This window comes from Homo sapiens, chromosome 2 (assembly GCF_000001405.40).
Source record: "Homo sapiens chromosome 2, GRCh38.p14 Primary Assembly".
NCBI classification, from domain to species: Eukaryota; Metazoa; Chordata; class Mammalia; order Primates; family Hominidae; genus Homo; species Homo sapiens.
Genome location: NC_000002.12, coordinates 11,774,802 through 11,787,917, shown reverse-complemented (window position 1 = coordinate 11,787,917; position 13,116 = coordinate 11,774,802). Strand labels below are relative to the sequence as shown.

Genomic DNA, 13,116 nt, shown 5'->3' with positions numbered 1-13,116 from the left:
CCAGGCCAGACTGCAGTGGCGCTATCTTGGCTCACTGCAACTTCCGACTCCCAGGTTCACGCCATTCTCCTGCCTCATCCTCCCGAGTAGCTGGAACTACAGGCGCCCGCCACCGCGCCCAGCTAATTTTTTGTATCTTTAGTAGAGACGGGGTTTCACCGTGTTAGCCAGGATGGTCTCGATCTCCTGACCTCATGATCCGCCTGCCTTGGCCTCCCAAAGTGCTGAGTTTACAGGCGCCAGCCACTGCGCCCAGCCGATAATGAAGTTTTTCAAAAGGGTAGAGATGTAGGCTACTCTGACATACCCATGTACTGCAGAGTGTGACTATTCACATTCAATAAGAACATCGAGCTGGGTGTAGTGGCTCACACCTGAAATCCCAGCACTTTGCGAGGCGGAGGTGGGAAGATCTCTTAAGCCCACAAGTTCAAGGCTACAGTGAGCTACAACTGCACCACTGCACTCCAGCCTGGGAGACAGAGCTACACCTTGTCGCAAAAAAAAAAAAAAAAAAAAGAAAAAGAAAAGAAAAGAAAACTCACAAGACTGAGAGCTATCTGAACCTATCAGCTATATTGCCAATTCTATTGGCATGGAACCCTGACCACAGTGAAGATAATGCAATAATGCAATGTAGCAAAGTCTTTATTTTATATATTTCTAAGGCTTAATGTCTAGGTCTATTTGAAAACATGAAACAGAAACAGTATCATGCTACTGCCAAAGTGACTTTCAAGAGGTACTTACTTACTCCCAATCTTTACCACGAGATTGGGGTCATCGATAATAGCGGGGTTGTCCACAAACTGTTGATATGACACAGCTTGCTCCAGGAATGCATCTGTGACAGCAATTGCAGAGGATCAGGGAAAAACAAAAAGAAAATTCAGTTCAAAATTAGGCCTACCTTTCATTTGCTCACTCACAAGTGTTTTCTGAGAGTTTGTGCATTCCAACTGTGCAGACAATCCTATAAAATGTATTTGTAAAGGCCGCACCATTTTACCTGGAAGGCGGCGTCTGTGCAGCAATGCAGGGAGGCCAGGGCAAGGCTGAGGATGTTGGGGGACGTGTACCTTAGTTGAGGCACATACGTTCACACAGGGAGTAGGGGTGAAAACAGCACACACGTGCATCTGCACAGGCAGAGTCATGGCTACGCATGGCGCAGAAGCCAGGCTCCCTCGGCTGAAGTCACGATTACGGGGGTAACCCTGGGCAAGCGGTTCACCTCCCAGGCCCCAGTTCCCTCCTCTAGCATGGGGATAATAACCACATCTGCTTCCTAGGGTGGTCATGGGGACTGATAATGTCGTAAATAGAAAGCACAGGGCCCTTTCAAAAATGGGGCTGCCTCCACCACAATCAGAAGCAGGCAGGGCACTGTTCTCATCATGGTGGGGCAGCCCCACCAGGATCAGAGCAAAGGAGAAGGTGGCAGGGTCAGGAGGCCCAGACCTCAGCCCCGGACCCTCAGTTCTTTGACGGGCTCTGGCAGCTGGGCTGTACCTTAAGCCTTGACCGCGGTTCTGACCATCTCCCTGGCCCAGAGCCACGCCCACTCCTTCCCTGGGAGCTCCTATTTACCCTGAACCGAACCGAAACCCAGCAGACATCAGACACTGAGAATCTCCTCCGTCCAGGAAAAGAGTCCCTGGGTCTTGATGCCAGCCTGACTGGCTTCAACATGCACCCTCAGAGCCCTAATCAGGACCTCCGGGGACTCTCCTGGGGTCTCCTGACTGTGACGATCTGGCCTCACCTGTAAGGACTGGACAGCTGCAGATCCTGGCCCCATGAGATAACACTCAGATAACGGTGCCCAGCCTTGTCAGTGCTGCCACCCCACCCCCACCAGCTCATGTATATCAGGGAGGGAACGCCCAGGGGACTCCTCACGCCAGTGTCCAGAGAGCCCCCATGACTTCAGAAACACAGTGAGGCTGGGTATTAATGTGTGGCCCTAGGAAAACTGAGTGAATGAATGGAGCCGGCGGGACCCAGCACACAATCTTGTTTCCGCTCTCAAGGGACTGGCTGGCACGGGCGTGAGAACAAAAAGGTCTCAATCTTTGCGGAAGAAAAAATTCCCAAAGCCTTGAAGGGACCAGGGTGGAGGCAGGAGTCTCACATGGCAGCCCTGGTTGGAAGGGGAGATGGGGGTGGCTCCTGAGAGGTAGAGGGAAGAAGTACACAGCCTCGGCCCCTTCCCTGCTAGAAATACCACGAGGGGATGGAAAAGAGGCAGTGGTGAGAGAGGGGGCGGGAGGGGTGCAGGGCCACTGTGTCTAGTCCCCAGCTGATAACTGCTGACTGCACCCACTGGGGGGCGTGGGCACACCCTGCCATGGAACTGTCAGGAGGCCCTGGGAGTGCATTGCTACGAATGTGGCAGGTGCTGTGAATGAATCACCTAAGCCCACCCGATTAACGCCCTTTGAATCCAGCTGGGAAAAGTTCCCAGCCCTCCTCCGACAAACTCAGACCTCCCTGTTCCAAGGCGCCGGCGCACTTCTCTCTCGCTGCCGACACCCTCTAATTTAATTAGACTGACACCCCCTCTAGCCTGCAGGCCTCTGGAGGCCATCTCTGCAGTGCTAGCCTGGGGCACAGGAGACACACAACGATGGCCCGAGCCATGGGTGACCCACAGAACTCTGAGGCCGACTAACTGCAAGCCAGAAACATCGGGATTATGAGTTCGGTGCTATCATCTGTGCTATCATTAACCGCAACCAAGGGAAAAGCTGCCTTGACACGCACTCCTTGGAGAAGCCTAAGCCTCTGCGCCTTCTGACCGGCGGCCACCAGAGGGCGCCCGCGCGAGGCCCGCGGTACCTTTCGTGATCTCCCGGTGGTCGCTGAGGCCCCCGCAGAGGGAGATGGCGATGGAAGGGAGGTCCCTCAGCCCGTCCGAGGTGCTCTCCACGCCACTGTCCACGCCCGAGCTGCCCACCGACTGCGGGGACTGGTTGGCTGACCGGGCTCCGTTGTCGCTTGCATGTTTTGCGAGTCCGGAAGGATCTCCGCTGGAAGGAGGAAAAGCGGCAGAGACCGGCTGAGGACTGTCCCAGTTCAGGGTCCTACATCACCATCCAGTGATGCTCTGGCACGCGGCCACCCTCAGAGCCGCAGACGGCTGCATCTCAGCACAGATGTTTATTAAAGCACCACGACAAGGAAAGAGACATTAAACGCCTTAGCTTAGGAGAGAAAACCATTACTTCTCAGCTGGCTGCATCTCCCTGTATCCCCCTAAAATATACTGAAGAAGAAGCAAGCTGTCCTCCCTGTTCCCTGCCCTTCCCCTCCAGGCGCCAGCCCTGCCCTAGATCGCAGGGGGACTGAGGGTGGGTCCCCAGGATCACGGGAGACCCTCCTGGGGGAAAAAAGGGCTGCACAGCTGCCACTTACTGGGCTGTGGACCACGACCACTGTGGACAACATGACCTCAGGCTTTGCAGGGAGGGCAGCCCGGTGCTGCGCCCCTGTCCAGAGGTGGGGCGCCGCCCAGTACCCGCACCCTTATGTCCATAGAGCAGGCGCATTTCACAAGGCAATGGGAGCCTCCCACTGCCTCTCTCTCACACTTTTTTTTTTTTTTTTTTTTTGAGATGGAGTCTCACTCTGTGGCCCAGGCTGGTGTGCAGTGGCATGATCTCAGCTCAATGCAACCTCCGCCTCCTGGATTCAAGCAATTCTCCTGCCTCAGCCTCCCGAGTAGCTGGGATTACAGGTGCATGCCAGCACGTGCAGCCAATTTTGGTATTTTCAGTAGAACGAGGATTCACCATGTTGGCCAGGGTGGTCTTGAACTCCTGACCTCAAGTGATCCGCCCACCTCAGCCTCCCAAAGTGCTGGGATTACAGGCGTGAGCCACCGCGCCCAGCTGTCTTGCACACTTTCTAATCAAACATAAGGGGAAACTGGTCTCACACAGAATGATATTCAGATTATAGGAAATGATGTGAGGAATTAACAGGAATTTTACTTTTTGGGAAAATACAGGGCCGCCACTTCAGGATCCATGTCTGTGAGGTCATCCAAGTAGACGCCGTCAGCACCAAGATGTCGGCTTCGTTTATCTAAAACGGCAAATGGCTCAAGTCAGAAAACCACTCTTCTAGAAATGAGCTCATGGCCTTGTATCTATAGAAACAGCATTTAAACACTATGTGCAGATTTGCTCCCAGGTACTCAAACTGCCCAAGAACCACAACAGTTCCAAGTGTGTTCTATTTTGTCTGGTAAAACAGAATGGCAAGAGCTTTTTAGACAAATACTTTGAGGTTTGGGCACAGTACCGTTGAGGGTGAGGTGGTTTTGATGGACTTATTCCATGATGTTGCTGGAGAAAGAGTGGATTGAGGTCACACTTGTAGGTACCGAGGCCCCTCGCTGGAGGCCACAGCCTGCGCTTTTCCCATTGGAAAATGGTGGGCAGTACAACGTGACCGTAGACCACCAAGGTCCACAAACCAGGGCCGTCATCCACCATCGTGTGGCCTGGATCAAGTTAGTTAACTTGCTGAGCCTCATTCCTCCTCTGTAAAGTGCCTGAAGTGTACTGAGCACTAAACGCATTGAGGCTATTACCATTATTATTACACTTATTATGAAATGATAAAAGCTTTTATTAGGCACTTCCCCATCAATACCCCGAGGCAAAGCATCCCACACTGTGCATTGTCAGACACTGGCCATGATGACTTCAAATGTCCTCTTTACTTCTAGCAGAAAATGATGTAATTGGTCCATATAATTCTAGAAAACCACACGAAGCTGCTGGGTGGATGGAGATCAGGCCTGGCATCGTTGATACTAACACACAGCCAGGAGTGCATTAAACCAACACAGAGCGCCCACTGTGTGCCAACCACTATGCCAAGCGCCGAGGAGAGAAAGGCAAGTTAGATAGAAAAGACTCTTGATCTCAGACAGCACATATTCTATGGGGGAGTCAGGCAAAAATAAATCAATAAAATAATGATCATTTGAAATCATGATAAATGATATGCAGAAATTACAGTGGGTAAGGGGCTGGAAAGCAACGCAGGGCAAGGAGAGAGGTGGCCAGGATTAACCTAATAATCAGCTTTATAAAAGTCACACTTATGGGTCCCATGGTGTGCTGGAAAGGACTTAACTCTCCCAGGTCTCAGCGAGCAGCCTCAGTGTGTAAAATGAAGTTTGCTACATGATCCTCAAGGCCTTCTTCATGTCTGATTTCCTATGACTAAATTCCGATAATTAATATATTCTGCTGAAGAGCTCAGACTGAACATGATCATTGTCACGGTTCAGTTTCTACCTCAGTTTCCTTGGAACTTTGGAAAGGACCTGTCATGTGTAGAGTGAGCACAAACTATGAACAGAAAAAGAGCCGGGAAGCCCCAGCCTTGGTACCTCTTTTCCTGGAAGGAGAATCCGTCTTGTTTGCTGTCTGGACTACACTGGCAGAGGGGGGTTTGAGCTCCTCGATCATGGGCAAGAGTGGCGCTGCTGCTCCTAAGGTCTCCAGGTCTTCTTCATTCACAAACTGCATTTCTGTCTGAGGCTTGTTCTGGTCCAAAAGTGCCCCACCGACCAGAGTTGGCGATTGGTCACTAAAAGTGTCTGAAGATTCGCTGTGAATGGCCTGAAAGTGACTTTTATCACAAATTTTTCTACTGCTCAATGGGCTGGACTCTTTCATCTTGTGTGGAGAAGAAGACTAGAGCAAAGAGGAGAGAGGGACAGAGAGAGAGACAAGGTCAGCACAAAGGCAACCAGAAAAACTGAGTGACCCAAGGAGAACAAGTAATCAAAAGTAGGCAGGGACTTTTAAGCCTCAACAATCACCTGGTGATTTCTATACCTGCCAAAAAGTCCAGAAACCAAGAATATTAGGTCCAAAGCAAATGAACTTTCCTGTGAAACATCAACTGCCAAAGAGAAGTGAGATTAGCAATGCCAACAGGCAGGAGCACCCTAAATGCTGTTAGATTACAAGTCTTTTCACACACACTGGGATTCTCAGTGGCCATGAGAATAAATGAATTACAGCTACACCAACAACATGAATGAATCTTGCAAAACTAATCTCTGTTGCTAAGATCAAGTTTCCCCTTGCAGGGAGCAGAGGGGTCAGTCTGAGCAGTGACCGCAAAGAGTGGGGGTTTCCATGCTGCTGGTCATGCTCTGCTTCTCGGTCTGGGTGCACGCTGCACAGATCTGTTCCTGCTGTGAAAATGTATTGAGCTATACATTTACAATGTGTGTATTTCTCTGTATGTATATTTCAATAAAGTTTATTCCCAAAACATGAGTGAATAAGTAAAGATTTGGTGACAGTTGGTTCACATGAGTGAGAAATTAGCATTTCTGATTCTACCGCCAGAGGGATTTCCAGTTACAGAAAAGATTTATTCAAACAAAAACCAAAATGCAATTCATGGGCTAAAAAGAGGGGAGAAAGTATTCACTTCTCTATCTGATCAAACAGCTTCAATTGCAAATAAAAACAATGCTACAGAAAATCTGTGGTTACAACTATTTTGCCAGAAGAAGTGATGGATTTGCACTTCCATGCTGTTTCTCCAGCAACTAACGACATAAACTTGCAAAGAGAGTTGGCTGGGTCAGCACCATAGCTGTGGACAGGTAAATCAGCATTTTCTATGAAATCTAAATATAACCTAGAGAGGAAATGGATCCACAACTTTGGCCTCAACAGACTACTCTCCAAAAAGCTGCCCATCTTGACTCTTTATAAGGGATGTTTTCAATAGTCATTCACTCACTCACTCACTCATTCATTCATATTACAAACATTTATTGGGGATGCAAGAGGCTATAGCATCTTCTAAGGACCTTACAATATTTTTTAAAGCTTGTGATATAATAACATAATTCAAGATGCTTATAATACATTAGCATACCAAATAAAATTTCTTGAAAGAAAAGATTGTGTTCATTTCATGTTTTTAGAAACATATTTGCTGAACCAGTTATGTACCTACATGTAAACCCACTGCATATCCAAGATAGGGAAACTGGGGCTCAGCGTGCATGTACCACAGCCAAGGAGAAAGAATGCAAATATTCAGAGGGCCTACAGGTGCCAGATACTTCACATACCTACATTAGCCCTTCTAACCTCACAACAATTCTGTCATTTTCTCACAGTTTTACAGATGAAGACACTGAGGTTCAGGGAAGTCTACTCATTTGCCCAAGGTCACCTTTTTAGCAAGCGGTGCAGTGAGGACTCAAACCCAGAATAACCTGCTGCCTCCCAGGCCCTCATTCTCTCCGCTACCCTCAGCTGCTTCTCTATTTATTTTGGAGATCTCCATAGGGTCAAATTCAGGGTCCCACCAACAATGAGGGCCCAGAAATACTTACTACTTGATGAATCAAAACCTTAAGGTTTTCTGACTTTGTTTATCTATTAGGCTGAAATCTTTCATTTCTGTTCTATTAGCCTTTCCCTCTCCCAGGGCTCTCCCAGATGTCTCTCTGTGTGAGGGACACAAGAACATGTGGATTCCAGCTCTTACAACTCAGCTTCTTTTTCAATGGGCCAAGAGTCCACAACTCTCTCCCTGTGGCTTTGCTCCACTCATCAATGACCTAGCAGACTCAAGAGCTGGAAGCTATTTTTGTTTACAGTTTCAAGACAGCAAGATTGTGTGTAAGTTGTATTTCTTTAATTTAATTTGCATTTAGCTGTGATAGAAAATGTAGATCCTGGCTGGGCACGGCAGCTCACGCTTATAATCCCAGCACTTTGGGAGGCAGAGGCAGGCGGGTCACTTGAGGTCAGCAGTTCAAGACCAGCCTGGCCAACACGGTGAAACCCCGTCTCTACTAAAAATACAAAAATTAGTGGGGCGTGGTGGCATGCGCCTGTAATCCCAGCTACTCGGGAGGCTGAAGCAGGAGAATCGCTTGAACCTGGGAGGCAGAGGTTGCAGTGAGCCAAGATAGAGCCATTGCCCTCCAGCCCGGGTGACAGAGTGAGACTCTGTCTCAAGAAAAAAAAAAAAAAGTAAATCCTAAGAGGAATCCCATAGGTTTAAAATCTACAAAAGCAATGAGACCTCTCTATAATGTTGGTAACGTGGAAGAAAGTAATTCCAACATTCAAGGCTAACCCTTAATATATTTTGGTTTACCTCTGGCTCCTGGTAGCTGTGTTTCTTGGCTATGCTATGATACTAATTCCATGTAATTTAAGCTGAGTTAGAAATCTTCGGTCCGTGGCAGAATTGAAGAGACTCTCACCTTAGCAGCCTGCGGCAGCTCTCCCCACAGCCAAAGCATTTCTGGGTTCTTCTGCCCTGTCCTTTCCGTGGACTTGCTGACCAATTCTGAATCACTTTTAGGTGTTGAAGGTCGGGAACCGGAAGGACTTAAGGAAAACACAAAGCGAAAATTAAGGTGGGAAAAGAAACTTTTGTAAATGTTTTGGGCCCAGCTCCATGGCTCAAATAGCCCAGAAAATGCACCCCCAGCTGTCGTTCGCTCTGAGCGGAGCCTCATGACAAATCCCTCCTCCGGCCACCAGGGGGCAGGGAAGCGCCTCCCATGGAAGGCGCTCCACGTGGGTCGCCCGCCCCACCCTGCCGCCTGGTGCACCGCGGGGGAGAGGAGAAAAAGAAGTGGCCCAGAATACAAAAGAAAGAGATGGAAAGAGAAAGGGAAAAATAGTCTGTTCTTACCTCAAAAAGACCACCCTTCCCCACCCCACTCTGCACTCGCATCTCCTGCAATCTGTTTCCAAATCAAGTTCCTCTGCTGTCAGAGGGCTGCAAAAGGGTCTTGGTTGGCTCGGGCAGGCACTCATTAGAGTCCATATTTTAAATATTTATCATCTGCACTGGCCTGGGAAACAGGGAAATTATATGATGTGCCAATTTTACCAAAGATGCTGGATGCCACAAATAAACTCGATAACGTTGGGCAGGAGCCTACAAGTTGAAATTTTCTAAGATCTTATGTCTTCCAGGAATACTTCACAAGGGACTCACCAACTGGTTAAGGCTCGCTCAGTAACCACCTCCATGTTTCCTGAATTTTTACTCTGAAGACCCAAACAAGGTCTTACTTCTGCCCAGCCAAAGTAACCATCCAAAAGTCATTAACTTATCCACAAGATCCTCACCATATTCTAAACAACTTAGAGAAATATTATTTACAGCAGCAATTCTTGTAATTATTTATTGCCGCATAATAACATGGTTAATTATTGCTTATTTTCCCACATCATTTCCTCTAGAGGAAGGCGGCAGGGTTTTTCAGACAAAGCAGGAAATAAAGCTTTCAGTTTCCCTTGCCGTCTTCTTTCCCAGACCTTATCTATTCTTCGGAAACTGATGCTTCTGGTCTCATTTACCTAGAGTTCAACTCCAATTGAATATAACTTTCCTGTCAATACAAGGTGAGTTCATGATGATACATAACTTGTATCCAACAAACAGGGACCTTGTGGGCTAAACTGATCCTGAATCTCTTTGATCAAGCTGCATAGAGCAGCCAGACCAAGTGCCATCTCTCTCATCTCACACCAAGGGGCAGAGGGTGGTCCCTGCTCCCTTGGTGCCCATGACTCCCAGCCCTTCTAATGACGTGCTGCCACGGGGCAGCCTGCACGCTCTCTTTCGCCTGCCTGGGGAGAGGAGGCTCCTGACATCACATTAGGAGAGCTTCTGCAATGGGACACCCTGCTCCCAACAGACACACATTTCTGCCCTTTAGGGAGCAGTCCTATAAGAAGGCACGTGGGCCCCCCCACGTCCATGTGGGAAAGGCTCCTGGCCTTTCAACCTCCTTGCTCTTCCAGTTCCACAACTGGACTTCTCCAAAGAGACAACGCTTTGGTGGCACTGAAGCGTCTACAGTCACGTGTTCGGTATCACTGCAATGGGAAAAGCGCAGGCTGTGGCCTCCAGCGAGGGGCCTCAGTACCTACAAGTGTGACCGCAATCCACTCTTTCTCCAGCATCATCATGGAATAAGTCCATCAAAACCAACTTCTCACCCTCAACGGTGCTGTTCCCAAACCTCAAAGTATCTAAAAAGCTCTTGCCATTCTGTTTCACCAGACAAAATAGAACATATTTGGCTATAAGTTCTTTGCAGCAATAAATTATCTCACTGTCACTAAATGAAATAAAGTCCTTTAGACAAAGCTTGCTCCGAACAGGGGTCGGCAAACATTTTCTGTAAAGAGCCCAGTGGCAGATATCTCGGGCTTTACGGGTTTTACGACGTCTGTCGCAACCACTCGCTGCTGTGGTGGTGTGAAAGCAGCCACAGCCAGTATGTAAACCAACTGCCTATGCCCGGGAAAGTCTGACAGAGGCAGATGGTGGACCAGATTTGACCCATGGGCCGTGCTTTACCAACCTCTGCTCTAGAAGAACGAAATGCGGAACACGGTTCTCCTGCAGCAATTCCCAACTCCAGAGTTCCTAACATTCTGGTCCCTTCATAAAAGCCACGAGCCACAAAACCCATAGAGGCACTCAGGCGTGCAACTCACGCATAAGGAGCCCAGCCCTACGAGAAAGTCTGCTGCAAGTCCCTCCCCAACAGCAAACAGGCCACCACCATAAATGCTGCCCGTTCAGGCCACAGCAACCCTTCTCCAAAGGTCTCGTGCACAAACACAGATGCGCTTTCTGCCGACCGTCACTGAGGGAATTCAGACAGACCAAAAAGGACGCAGGAATGGGGCCCACTGCCAAGTGGGATTTACCAGAAAGATGACTCCAAAGTGCTCCGTCATGAAATATTATTATTTTAAGATCAAGGGTTGTTCAAAAAAGTAAGCTTACAAGGTCAATGACTGATGTTCATAAACAAGGTATTTATTAGCCTTATCAAAGTTTTCAGTATTTTTGCCAGTCCCAATAAGGCTAGTTAGTTTTAACTATTAACAACTTTGTTTTCCTCATTTTAAACGGACTTTTCTTCTGCAAATGTAGCCTCTGAATGAAGTACATCCTGAGGTCTGGATCTTTAATCAAAAAGACAAAAGGTTTTCCACGTACAAATTAATCGTAGCTTCATTTGCTAAGGCTTACAAAGTAAACCATGTAAGTCCACAAAGTAGGTAGGTCAAAACTGAGGGAATGAAGGCAGAAATCTGAGATGACTACATCGAGTGAACACACCAACCTTTGATCCTCAGCCTGAGACCCAGCCCAGGCCATTCTCCAAGATTCTGTTCTAGAAATGCTGTGGAAAGTGTCTGACTCCATTATTCAGACAGCCCAATAAACTACTTAAATGTTTATAATAAATTAAAGTGGTATTCCAAAAATATCTTGTAAACTTATTTGTCAAACAACCCGAGACAGAAAACAGAAGATCATATTCCCAAGCTATATTTCATTATTCTCATTTTCAAAGCACTTCACAGAATTAGGTAAAATTATATGCTTAACCATAATTTCCAGAGAGTCAAATTTAGGAATTAAAAAAAAAAAAAAATCTGATCATCTACAAATGCTTATAACGAAAGGAAAAGAGTAATCTATATACATATTTTTCATAAGTAATTTGGTTAGTGAAATCGATTTGTAAAAGTTAAATCAAAATTTTCACTTCATATAATCTACAGGTATTTTCTTCATAAGTAATTTGGTTAATGGTAAAATAGACTTATAGTAAGAGTTAGATCAAATTTTTCATTATTGAATATATCCCAATGGGGAAAATAACTCCTCTACCTTTCCGAAGGATGGAACAGGGAAGACTGTGGAGGGCAAGAACTAGACAGACCTCCCTCGGCCGCAACTGCAAGATGAGGGGCAGTCCTTTTGCAATCTACCAGGCTACTGGATACCACCACGTGATACACATTAAAAGAAAGACAAAATCAGAGGTCAATTACATCAAGTGAGATTATATAAAGTATATGTAATATACTTTATATAAAGATTATATATAAGATTATATAAAGTATATATAATATACTTTAAAGACTATATATAAGATTATATAAAGTATATATAATATACTTTATATAAAGATTATATATAAGATTATATATAATTACAAAGTATATATACTTTATATAAAGATTATATATATTACGTAAAGTATTTGACTACTCTCAACAACGACATTTTTAAGAAAATAAAGAAACTCAGACATCTGATAATGGCAGAGCACCGGATATTGAAATTGCTAAGAAATCAGCATGAATTTTCTGAGACACAAAAGCAGGAAACTGCCAAATGACCTATTTCACTTTCTGTTTCACCCATGTGTAGAACTGATCATCTCTGGTCACACTTTCGTGCTTAATCAAACTACATAATCCAAAAATGTGCTCGTGTGTGCTGTCAATTGTCTCTTTACAGAAAATACCTAATTCCAAATGTGGAAATGTAGCTATTTATCCTAATTTGTCATTCCATTTGGTGATAGTCAGAGCTACATAACCTGACTCAGTCATTATGCTGCATTCATGAGGCAAAACATTACAGATGTTTTGAGCATTAAACACGCTCAGAGTTGTGTTTAAAGTGTTTCTTTTAAATCCTTAAAATTAACATACAGTGCTTGAACAGATTTTTTCATCTATTATTGGGTTCTAAATATTCTACATTATTTTCCTCCTAAACCACTATTTTTCCCTCCACTATTTTATCTCCACAGACCTAGAGAAAGAATGAGAATCTAGAAAGGTCTTATATCTGCACTGTCCAATATAATAAACCACCAGCTACAGGTGGCTCCTGAGCACTTGAAACGTGGCTTGTCCAAATTGGGATGTTCTGCGCATGTGAAATACATAATGGAGTTTATAAAGACTTGGTATGTAAACAGAAATGTGATGTATCTCATTAATAATTCTTTAAAATTGATTGCTTGTTGAAATGATATTTTGGAAATACTGTGGTCAAATGAAATATAGCTTTAAAATTAATTTCATCTTTTTTTTTTTTTTTTACTTTTTAAAAATAGGGCTACTGGAAATCTTAAAATTACATATGGAGCTAGTTATTACGTTTCTATTGAACAGGGCTAGGCTCTGACGCAGGAAGACCTCCATGCAGGGACTTTGTCACAGGCCTCAGCCTCAGCCTGCTGGACTAACCCGCGACATCAGTATT

At 45.9% G+C, this 13,116-nt stretch overlaps 1 protein-coding gene across 14 annotated transcripts in view, besides 2 other annotated features; it reads right to left on the bottom strand.

Moving 5' to 3' along the window:
• LPIN1 (lipin 1) overlaps positions 1 to 13,116 on the bottom strand; it is a 149,866-nt gene that overhangs the window by 39,492 nt on the left and 97,258 nt on the right. For 7 of the 14 annotated variants that reach the window (NR_146080.2, NM_001349208.2, NM_001261427.3 and 4 more), the window contains 5 exons: positions 8,273 to 8,399; positions 5,411 to 5,717; positions 3,996 to 4,089; positions 2,842 to 3,032; positions 751 to 844 (listed from right to left, as the gene is read on the bottom strand). Coding sequence is in view for 13 of the 14 variants with exons in the window: in NM_001349208.2 (NP_001336137.1) it covers positions 751 to 844; positions 2,842 to 3,032; positions 3,996 to 4,089; positions 5,411 to 5,717; positions 8,273 to 8,399 (813 nt within the window). In the remaining variant the exon portion in view is untranslated. Of the gene's footprint in view, positions 1 to 750; positions 845 to 2,841; positions 3,033 to 3,995; positions 4,090 to 5,410; positions 5,718 to 8,272; positions 8,400 to 11,724; positions 11,833 to 13,116 lie in introns of all 14 variants that reach the window. The other 7 variants (NM_001261428.3, NM_001349207.2, NM_001349204.2 and 4 more) reach the window with 2 other exon arrangements.
• Positions 2,901 to 3,195: a silencer, noted in NCBI's record as "tiled region #7856; K562 Repressive non-DNase unmatched - State 14:Gen5'". NCBI's record gives its function as "represses a minimal TATA promoter and a strong SV40 promoter by Sharpr-MPRA in K562 cells {active_cell/tissue: K562}" and the evidence as "EXISTENCE:reporter gene assay evidence [ECO:0000049][PMID:27701403]".
• Positions 7,791 to 8,990: an enhancer, noted in NCBI's record as "CDK7 strongly-dependent group 2 enhancer chr2:11919054-11920253 (GRCh37/hg19 assembly coordinates)". NCBI's record gives its function as "activates an origin of replication core promoter dependent on BRD2, BRD4, P300/CBP, MED14 and CDK7 cofactors, with strong dependence on CDK7, by STARR-seq in HCT116 cells {active_cell/tissue: HCT116}" and the evidence as "EXISTENCE:reporter gene assay evidence [ECO:0000049][PMID:35650434]".